At 41.0% G+C, this 12034-nt stretch overlaps 1 annotated feature.

Moving 5' to 3' along the window:
* Nucleotides 4697-4796: a silencer, noted in NCBI's record as "silent region_14821". NCBI's record gives its function as "represses an Ori minimal core promoter by ATAC-STARR-seq in GM12878 lymphoblastoid cells {active_cell/tissue: GM12878}" and the evidence as "EXISTENCE:reporter gene assay evidence [ECO:0000049][PMID:35858748]".

Here is a 12034-nt window from a genome sequence, read left to right as displayed (position 1 = left end):
GCCAGTTGAATGAGGTAGAGTAGGGTCAAGGAGCCAGGTCTTCTGCCTTCAAACCCAGTGTAAGCTAAGCTTGCTTGATACTGCATTGTGATGTGGCTACTTACATTTGTGAGGATGCCCCTATGTGGACAAGCACACAAGCAAACTAAGTAGCCCCCTGCATCACACGATGTTAAGCAGAGGTGTGAGGGGTTGAAAGCTCTTCACTTTCTTCAGAAAATCCACTTCCTCCTCTCTTTCCCAATGTATACAATTTCTTTATCAGGGAAAAATATATTTTATTATGTAATGGAATTAAGGCTACACAGTCACTCTAGGAGAGGTAGAGATCTACAAATTCTCATTTTTTTTTTACAGTGTCAATGACTGCTGTTGGAATCTTTTTGAATGACTAATTTTGATTGGAGAAAGAGAATGGAAATGAGGAAGAAACCACAATTTACCTTTCACCCTGAGGGGGTGAAAAGGGCACAGATTTATAAGACTAAAGCACCAAATATTAAACTTTGTCAATTTTGCCAATAATAAAATTGCTTACTTAAGGCTCTTGTAAGAAAGAGAAATTACTCTTAACAAATTTAAGCAAAGAAATGAATGTACTGAAGGAATAAGGTATTTCTCAGAGTAGGAGGACTTTTGACCTCCAGGTGTCAGGAAGGAAGACTCTAGTACCCCAGGTATGTCGGTGGTCTCTCTACAGACCTCAGCCACTAGTAGGACTCTGTCATCGTTATATGACCCTTGAGTCAAAATGCTATATCCCCAAAAGAAATAATCAAGCTTGTTAGGGATAAGATTCCATGCCTGAACCAATGAGCTGTGGTCAAGGTTGGGGTCCTGTGCAGATTCCTGGGGCTCCCTCTGTGAGAAAGGAGCTGGTCAGATTGGGGAAAAGTACACAGCACGCTGGAGCACTCTCCCTGCCCTATTTCTCAGCCATGTGGCTCTTCACCCTTTGAAACCCCAAGTCTCCATGACTCTCTTTGAATCCTCACAATGATCACATAAGGTAGGCTAAGCAGGGACTCTGCTTTGATGCAATGATGCCTTCTTTAGAGGGAGGAAGATGAGGCTTACAAAGGTTAGTCAACTTACCCAAGGTCACAGGTAGACTAAATAAGGGAGGCAGGACTTATCCACATCTCCTGGGCTGCAAAACCAGTTATGTGAATGTGGATATGGGGGACAAGTGACTGAACCAGTAGAAATACATGAGCAATAGGTGAGGGGGCATCCATATCAGAACCACCAGGACTGAATGAATATGCTTACTTGGGCCCCCCAACCAAGCTGTTGACAAGAAGGCAGGGAGAAGGGGAGGAAGGACAAGAATACAGATGGAAGAAAGGGAAAGGCAAGAAATAGGCTCAGATCAAGAGGAAGGTTTCTCGAGTGCGCACGTAAGCACATCTGTCAGGCATCCAAGGCAGAGGCTATTCATGGCCCCCCACCAGTTATCTTCCCTTTCCTATGCAGTAATAGTATTCTCAGTAGAATGGATGGCTGTCCAACCTAAGGCTACATTTCCAACCTCCCTTGCAACCAGAAGCCACATGATTCTGGCCTAAGGGATATGAGCAAAAGTAACATGTACGAATTCGGTGTCACGCCCTTATAGGTCACGTCTTTTCTCCCTTTCCCCTTTCTACATTCTGGAATGCAGAGTTAATGGCAGGAAACAAAGCAGCCACATTGGACCATGAGATGCAAGCCAAGTATGAGGATGGCAGGGCCACAGAATGTAAGGAGCCTGGATGCCTCATAATTGAGAAACCATCACACCAATCCTGTCAACCCAGACTTACTTTCAAGTCTAAGAAATAATTTCATAGCAGTCATAGTAAAGAAATAACAAAATGCCATATATCATGCATGGTGTCATAGTAAACACCCCATAATTGCTAAATGCTTTCATGATTAATATACTGGCTAAAAATACAAAATAAAAAGTAGGTATAATTGGCCGAGCGTGCTGGCTCACACCTGTAATCCCAGCACTTTGGGAGGCCAAGGCGGGCGAATCACGAGGTCAAGAGATAGAGACCATCCTGGCCAACACGGTGAAACCCCGTCTCTACTAAAAATACAAACATTAGCCGGGCATGGTGGCATGCACCCGTAGTCCCAGCTACTCAGGAGGCTGAGGCAGGAGAATCACTTAAACCCAGGAGGTGGACGTTGCAGTGAGCCAAGATCGCACCACTGCACTCCAGCCTGGGCGACAGAGTGAGACTCCATCTCAAAAAAAAAAAAAGTAGATATAATTGATTAGGGAATAAGAATTTATCTGCTCTTTATTTATATATGTAAAAATTATAAATGACTATATACCGATAATAAAATTAATAATGTGTATTCAGTCAATTAAAATTTTTAAATGCTTGAAACTTTTGACACAACTGTTCCTCTTCAGGAAATTTTTTCTTATAGGGAAACTTGTTCCCAGGTATTTTATAAACCCAGCTATGATGACTGTAATGATACATTTTTGGCACTCGCGTGAGCTTTTTCATGGACTAAATTTCTTTAAAGTATAAATTTTTAATCACCGGTTATGAACATTAAATATTTTAAACTTTTTGTTATGGAAAATTTCAAATATATACACGATTATTGAAAGTAGTATAATGAATCTTAGGTACCCATTACATGTATTCAACTACCAACTCCTGGACAATTTTTCCAACCCTCCCCACCTGGATTATCATGAGGCAAATCTCAGACATCATATCATTTCATCCATAAAATCGCAGTATGTCTCCCAGGACTGTCTTTTGAAAACAAGATCACAAAACCATTACCACACCTAAAAAATAAATAAATAATTCTTTATTATCAAAATGTAGTGTTTAAGCTTCCCCAATTATCTCATAATTTTTTTGGCAGGATCCAAATAAATTCCATACATTGCAATCAATTGATATGTCTTTTTTGGTGTATAAGTTACCAGGACTTTTGTTGGAAAGATAAATATGCTTCTAGCTTGTTTAGGTCACTGTTCTTGAGATCTCTGTATCACAACAGCAACATCCTAAGCCCACAACCACTGCAGCCCCCAGCTCTCAGGGCAAGCTCATGGCTCATCACTCTGGTTCCCAGGCCTGGGTTGACCCAGAGCAAGAGCAGGAGGGCTGGGGTTCAACATTCCAATCCTGTCTCTGGCCAACACACTTCCCAGTCCTTTTCAAGACTTGGCAGAGGTACCAGATTCCCTCTAGGAGCAGCCCAGGACTGGTTCACCTACAGCCTGGAATTTCTCAGGTTGAGAAGGAGCTGTGCTGAGAATTAGTCAATTTTTAAAATAAAGTTACAGGGACCTAAGAGACGATCTAACTCAGGGATCAGCAAACTTTCTGTAAAGGACCAGAGAGTAAATATTTCAGGCCTGGCAGGCCATACAGTCTCTGCCCCAGCTATTCAACTCTGCCGTTGAGTGTGAAAGTAATCATAGAAAACATATAAACAAATGAATGTGGCTGTGTTTTCACAAATCTTTGTTTATGGACACAAATTTGAATTTTATATAAGTTTCATGAAATATATTACATAATTATATGATATACTATGAAATAGAATATTTTATGTTATGGATTCTTTTGATTTTTTCCTACTATTTAAAAATATAAAATCCACTCTTAACTTGCAGGCTATACATAAATGGACACTAGAATGAATTTGGCCTATGGGCCACAATTTGCCTTGATCTAACCCAACCTTCTCATCTGTTGCTGAGAATTAAACTGAAGACCAGAGAGGTGAATTAATTCACAGAAAGTCACACAGCAAGTTGATGAGAAAGGCCAAAGTTAGAACCCAAGTCTTCATCCCTTAAAATTTACAAAGGAATACTTTAATAGCAAGAACAGTATACTCATGAACCATTTGAAAGGCCAAAGACAGAGAACCTGAGCTAAAACCCCAAGCCATATGGATATATCACGACAATAGAAAGCCTGACTGCAGTGCTCGTTTCCTAGTAACCACAGCCTCTCTGATGAAAGATTGCTCTGACTTGTTATTTATAACTTATTTCCCAATAGGGAGGGTGAGTGATTTGATTATATTTAGTTACAAGAGCCAGGGAAATCCTAATCTACCATCTTAGCATACTCGCGAACCTTAGAGCCACAGCTGCCAGGAGATGGGAGAAAGCAAAGAAAGCTGCAATGTACAGTGTTGTCCCTGTTACTAACAACAAGGGTCACATATAGCAATTACTGACTGCCTGACACAAATAACAGATGGTGTGAGGGGAGACAGGGAAGAAAGGCATGCATTCCTATTTATACTCTATGGAGGCAGTCATTATGAGAAACATTTCTGCACCTTGTTCATTACTCTACTTGGAGCATCTGTTAATTTAGCCTCCTTTTTTGACTTTGTCAGTACGACTACGCTTCTGGCTCCTAGAGTTATGTTCTTGAGAATGAACTCTGCTGCCTCTTAAGGGGCTTTCTTGGTTCCAGAGAAAATTGGATGATTTGAAGTTCAGAGAGGGAACACAAAGCATTAGAAAACCACAAACAGCCTATAAATAGAAGAGGTCTCATTGGCCTCTTCTAAGAGTCAAGAGATTCCGGGTGGAGTTAGGTAGAATTGACAAATTAAGCCAATGTCAGAGACAGTAAGCCGTGAAGGGGTTACCCAGAGATTATCTAGTGTTGTCCAACCCCATATTTTACCTCCTAGGGCCCAGAGAGGATAAGTGACTTACAAAAGATCACACAGCAGATTTGATGAACCCAGATCTTGTTACTCACTGACTCATAACATTTCTGATACCTAAGCAGCTTCTAAAACAAGGCAGAAAATATCTCAAAGCAGGCAAATGGACAGAAGTGAAACGCCAACATGATGAATCAAAGCAGAATCTTCGTTTCCTTCTGTCCACAAATTTAAATAGATAATTATGTGTCATTGCACAATTATATGAAAATAGGAGAAGAGGTGGCATTTGTTAAAAGAATAAGGAACAAAAAGAGATCGGGGTGGGGGGTCACAAATTGATGGAGGCATCCAATGGCTGCCTCGGACACATTACTTGTAGAATGTAGTTCTTAGGTTTAGTGGCTCAGCTGGGGCTCTGGAAGTGCACATGGGATGTCTGTTCTTTGGAAGAAAGAAATAAGAAATCATTCAGGAATGTTGTATAGTTTGTCTGAAGCAATGGTTGTCTTTTCCCCCATCCTGATTAATGACGTAATAAGATTTGGGGTGTATTTTTTATTATGCGAATACATACAGATACGTGTTTTAAGTGAACAGCTACATATTGATTATAAAATAATCTGTTATTATTTTAGGAGCAAATCAAACACTGACCTTTCAATTTTCCACCAAGTGTTTTTCCCCATAATGCCCCATGCACACTTTAGACATGCAAGATGGATAATGAGGGCCAAGGCAACAGGACTAGAAGAGAGGCTTCAGGAATGCTGAGCAAGCAAATGAACAGACCTGAGATGCTGGATAGCTTTTATACAGAAGAAAGAGGAAGAGGAAAATAAAGCAGCTGACAGTATTCCAGGGGTGCCTGGCTGACCATCTGTTGGGGACATGGGAGGGGGAGGTTGACTAGATGGCTTGTGTGATCCCTGCAGCAGTCACAGTCTGATTCAACAGGAGAAGACCACATGTATTTTCAGAAATAGCTCTTACATTATGTTTATGCTTTATTGGCAGGGAGTTCTAGTCTTGTTGTTCATACTTTGTAAGAGTGCAGTGAGCCTTTTTTAAAAAATATATATACAAGCAAACATCCACTACCCGGTCTGGTAACAGCTTTTCCATTTTCTGTTGGAGAGCTATTCTTCCTCACCCTCAGTCAGGGGATCTAATGTTATCCTCCAGCTCTAAGAGTGAGCACATAAGCCAGACCTGGCCAATTAGTGCTTCCCATCGCCCTGGTCACAGAGATTGGGCAAAAGACTCAATGAGAATCAATCCTGGGATTTTGCTAAATTTTCCGATAGGAAATAGGGGTATTCTTGCTGGAGTGGCTTATCTGATACAAGTAAGCCTGGAGCTGTCGTCTTTCCTATCATGGGAGAGCCTTCCTAAAAATAAAGCCCACATAGAAGCAAGCCAGCCCAGAGGTGGAGAGAGACTAGATTCCAACAGTGTCATTTGAGCATGTGTGTTCAGTCATATCTAAACTGAGTTTTTCCTTTGAAATCAAATGAGACACTAAATTCCCTTTTTACTTCACAGTTTAAACTCAGTTTGGTCCTCACAGACAAGAGTCCTGGTTAAACAAGAAAGACAAAATAAAATGAAAAACAGACCCTAAAACAATAATCCATCTTGTTTGCATAGTCCTTTTCAGTTAGCAGAAACCTTCCAGGCCCCTGGAAGGTTTATAGCAACCCCAAGAGGCCAACCAAGCAGGAATTGTCCCTATTTTGAAGATAAACACCAAAAAGTAATTGCACTCTTGCTATGTGCCACTGTTCTAAATGCTTTTCAGGTATTAATTAATGATTCCTCAAAGTGACCTAGTGAAAGAGCTGATATTGTTATCCCCATTTTATAAGAGTAGAAACTGAGGCAAAGAGGTGAAATTGTTGGCCCAAGATCGCTGCCAGTAAATAGATGTGGTGGACACACGCTAGGGTGACCCCACCCCAATACCAACCAGTGATGCTTCTGAGGAATCCTCTCCCCCGAGCGTGGGCAGGACCTATGCTTGTTTTTTGCCAGTGGAATATGGCAAAGGTGATGAGATGTCACTCCCATGATCACATATGGCAAAGGTGAAGGGATTCTGCAGATGTAACTAAGATCCTTAATCAGTTTGACTTTGAGTTAATCAAAAGGGAGATTATCCTGGGTGGGTCTGACCTCATCAAGTGAGTTCTTTATAAGAGCAGAGATGTTTCCCCAGGATCAGAGACTTCAAGCAGCAGAGATTCCCTCTTTCCTGCTGGTCTTGAAGAAACAAGTTCTACAGTCACAAGGAGATGAATTCCACCAAGAACCATGCGAGCTTAGGAAAGGATCCCAAGTCTAGACGGGACTGCAGACCTGGACAGCACTTTCACTGCTGCCTTGTGAGACCCTGAGCCAAGGACCCGGCTAAGCCATGCCCAGACTCCTGGCCCCTGAAAGCTGTGAGATAACATACGGGTGGTGTTAAGCCGCCAAGTCTGTGGTAATTTGTTACACAGAATGGACAACTATCACAGAAGAGGAGCAGAGATTCCCACCCAGTGTGACTCCAGGAACTGTGTGACAAGTGCTGGTTACCAGGTTCTTTTGGACACCAAAGGAGAGAGGTATTTTACCACACCAACCAGTTTCCAATCCCCCAACACTAAGTAGGTGTCCTGCAATTCAATTCAATCTGACACTACCCAGAGTTAGTGTCACACTCCCCAGGTGTGAGGGCTCAGTCCCACCGACTGCCTTCACTTCAGATGCCAGTTGCAAGGATCATGTCACCCGTACCTCTGACAGACTGGCTGTGAATCAGGGGTTCCCATGACCCCCTGATAATTTGTTAATTTGCTAGACTTGCTCACAGAACTCAGGAAGCCACTTTATTTACACTTACTAGTTTATTATAAAGGATGCAAATAAACAGCCAAATGAAGATGTATGCAAGGCCAGGTCTGGGGGAGTCCTGAGTGTAGGAGCCTCTGTCTCTGGTGGAGTTGGGATGCAACACCCTCCTAGCATGTGGATGTTTTTGCCAACTTGGAACTTCCCTAAACCCTGTTGTTTACGGACTTTCATGGAGGCTTCATTACATAGCCATTATTGATTAAGCCATCGGGCATTAGTGATTAAATCATCTCCACCCCTTCTTTCTTCCCCGCAGGCTGGGGTGTGAGCTAAAAGTTCCAAACATCTAATCAAGGCTTGGTCTTTCTGGGGACAACACCCTGTTCTGAAGCTGCTTAGGAGCCCACTAAGAGTAGCTCATTAGAATAAAAGATGCTTCTATCGCCTTCATCACTCAGGAAATTCCAAGTGTTTTAGGAACCAGGGAGAAAGACCAAATATAGATTTCCTATTATACCACACTGGTCTTTACGGCCTTTGAAGATGATGACTGGGGCCCATACCAATGACTAGGGGACCAGCCAAAGGCCAATGACTGAGTTGGGACCAATGCCTGTGTTTCCTCACTTCAGGACTTTTGACTTCTAACCGTGTCCCTGACTCATTCTGCCACCGCTAAAGTACACAAAGGCATAAAAGATAAAATGGGTTTTTTTTCTCCAGAAAAAATAAAATGTTTAAAGGAGAAGTTTAACATATAAGAGCCAAGAAAATGTTGATTAAAGGTTAGGAGTTTTTATATGTCATATACATCATGACTCTATAAGTCAAAGAAGTGTGGAAAGTGAAGCTCAGAGACCCTAAGTGACTTCTCCAAGGCTATTCAGTCATGGAGGAGGAGCTGGGATTTCACCCTGGGTCTGACCTCCACCTTCTTCCTCCTCCCTATAGCACCAAAGAACAAAGGGAGAATATTTCAGCCATCTTCTAGTATCCAGTGGATTGGCAGAATTCTTTTAGGAAGGGATATAATCAGGAAATTTCCATCTCCACAGAAAGTATTACTAAAGAAAATGCATGGTAATTAAAGCATAAAGGATTTCACTTAATCCTAAGGAAGAGCTTTCCAGGGATAAGGTTAATTAAACGCTAACGAGATTTTGTTTTAAAAAAATCAAAAGCCTCGAAAATTCTGCTTTCAGATTTCTGTTTATGAAACATCACAGGAAAACAGCAAGAAGAAAGGTTGGGAATGATTTTGCAAGCTAGTCAAAACGCTTGCAAGCCCAAGGTTTTCAACTTTGACTATAAGGCTGAACTGAGTAAATAAATTGTAAAGATCAGTCAGAGCTTTCTGGGAGACTATAGCAAATGTTAATGGCATTAAATTTTACGTATTAATTTCCAGGTTTGAAATACATACTAGCTTTTCTCATGATACCGTTCATATTTTTAAAAATTATCCACAAAGAAAGCAAATGGACTCAGCTGCAGATTTCTGCACTCACACAGTGCATTTCTTTTATAGGTGGATGATTTCAGACCCTCCACTATCTATCCCCCATTGCGGGGCCACAGAAACTCTCCATCCCCACCACGGCCCCTGCTTTGTACTTGTGCTTTCTTTTTGCTGCTGCAGACCCCTTACTGCCTGATACCCCACATTTAGTCCCAGTCCTTTGCTGCATCAGGAGCAGTCTTGGGATAAGAGCTTTAGATGACTTCATATGCTGTAAGGAGGGAGCAAGGACATAAAAATGGAAGAGGGAAATCTCAGATTCCACATATTTCTGTACCCTCCCTTGCCCCCTCTCTCCAGACCTGGTCCAGGATCCTCCAACCCCACATCTGCTTCCCAACCTTTTTCTTACAGCCAGGCTTCCTGCTCTAAGTCTTTTAATAAAATGCCCCAAAGAATGGTGCTTTTCTCTGGATGTGGCTGAATTGCATTCTTAAACCTTGGTGTATTCCAGAGACCAGCCCTTTCCATATGGAGGACCTAACTGAAAGAGGAGAGAAAGGTGGGGGAAGGAAAGACAGCACTTTCTTTATTGAAAAGTGAGATCATGAATTCCACCCTGGGATAAAAGTAATAAGAGGGCTGGGCAAGAGATGATCACAAACAGTGTTGAACCCTGGTAATTTGTGTCAAATGTCTTTAAATGACCACATTATCTGATTCAGTCATTTCACTCCTGGGGATTAAGTCTAAATAAACAATGGGAAGACAAATAAGATCTAAACAAATAGTGATATACAATGTTCATAGAAGTCTCAATATGGTAAAGATATGAAATCATCCCCATTTCATAGATGAATAAACTGAGGCATAGAGAGATTACATAAACTGTCTAAGGTGATATAGCAAGTAAGAGGTGAAACCATGATTCAGAACTAAGCAGTTTGGGCCCAGAGCCCATGCTCTTAACCACCCTGCTGTCTTGCCCATCCCCTGTGCTCCCGCTGTTCCACTGCATTTTCCTCGCTGCGTGTCTATTTCTTGCACTAGGAAGAGCAGGAACCACATCTGGTTCACCTTGGAACCTCCAAGTCCCTGGTGTGTAGGGAAGAGTCAAAATACATTTACTGAACTCAACAGGATGGTTTATTGGTAAGTTATCTAATCATTGGGATTTATGCTTCTACCTTTACAGAATTCTCTGTAAATTAGGGCACAGATGTAGCCAAAAATACACAGATTTAATAATGAGTCTTTAAAAAATAGTTTCCTTAGCTGCTCCCCTCTTCTGGTTTTGGGTTGTTAAATAATTTAAATGGCGGATCCAGAATTTATTTTTTAATATGATTTTTTAAATAGGAAATTCCGGAACATTTCTCATCATATTATTTGAGAACAAGAATTATGTCATTTCTTATTTTTTTCTACACTGTGGGTGCCCAATAAATATTAATACTGATGCCACTATTAAAATTATAAAACTATAAACAGGAAAACAGTAGTGAAGTGTCTTTTTTTTAAAAAAAAAAAAGGTTTTATGGTTAGTGAAGGGAAATAAAAAATGATTTATTTCGGCCTCTTATGTTTATAACAAAAATAGTAAATCTGATGAACATTTCTGAGACCTGTGGAAATCAGGTAGTTAAACCACCACCAAAAATTAGTTGAAGAAACTGGTGGTGGAGCACTCCTAAGCAAGACTGTGGACACCTAAACCCACCTCTGGTTTCTTTGGTGCCTGGCTACGTTTCAAGGTCTTTGCAACATTATAAATAACCAGTCCTCTCAACCCTGACCACTCTAGTCACAATAAATCCACATAGCCTCTTTGTCTTGACCTCTTAGCATTCCCAGGATTTTATATAACTCATGATTAGAAATGTTTATAGAGAAAATGACCTCCTATTGAAGAGGTTCAAGATTTATATTCAACCAAGTCAGAAGGAGCAAGAGAAAACTTTTACTGGTAACCAGTATTGTTTTTGATAAACAACATTATATTAGGGTTCTCCAGAGACATGGAGCCAATAGGCAACATATAGACACACACATACATATAGACAATTGTGAGGGCAGTCATGCAGTTGTGAGGGCTGGCAAGTCAAAAAATTTAAATTGCAGGGCAGACCAGCAGTCTGCAGTCCCAGGGAAGAGCTGATGTTTCAGTCTTGAGTCCAAAGCCTGTCTGAAGCATTCCTTCTTCCTTGGGGGACCATTTTAAGGCCTTCAACTGATGAGATAAGGTCCATCCACATTGCAAAGGGTAATTGGCTTTATTCAAAGTCAACGGATATAAATGTTAATCATATCTTTTAAAAAAGACCTTCATAGCAACATCTAGATTGGTGTTTACATGAGTACCATGTAGGCAACTCAGCCTAGCCAAGTTGACACATAAAATTAATCATCAAAACCATCAATATTCTTTATTATATCAGTGACTGCAGCTATAATTCACTAAGCCAACAAGAAGAGATATAATGATATAACTTTTGGATTTCTCCCTGAAACAAATCAGACCAGTTCTTCAACTGTGCAAGATTTCTGTGTACTAAACTCTACAGCAAATGCCAGTTGGCCAGTGTCTTTTTTGGCCTATATATTATCCAACGGTAGTTGATAAAGTTTTCTGATGTCAGCAGGATGGTTTTTACTCACTTTTGGCTATGTATTTCTGCTCCACAAACACTTCCAAGAAGGCATTACAGCATAAAAAACTATCACATTCCACCACCAGCATAGTATCTCTCACCAATTAAATTATCCCAATTGCTTTGATACAGATAATTGCAATCCCTTTGTTTATAAATCTATGTCTTAAATTAAACATTCATGGTCCCTATATAGTGAACAAAAATACACAGACTATTTTACCTCTAATGAAAGTTTAATCATGATCTGATAGCAGGGGCTTACAGTGCGCTCAGAGCAGCAATTGTGTGGAGTGATCTCTTTGCTGGTCAAAGTAGGGGTGGCACACTTCCTCTAGCCATCTGTTTCAGCCACCTCACTTGCTTCTCCACAGCCCGACCTCTCTCTCCCATCATAAGAACTTCCCGTTTTCAGTTCCTC

This window comes from Homo sapiens, chromosome 3 (assembly GCF_000001405.40).
Source record: "Homo sapiens chromosome 3, GRCh38.p14 Primary Assembly".
In the NCBI taxonomy this organism is placed as follows: Eukaryota; Metazoa; Chordata; class Mammalia; order Primates; family Hominidae; genus Homo; species Homo sapiens.
This window is presented reverse-complemented; position numbering and strand designations above follow the sequence as displayed.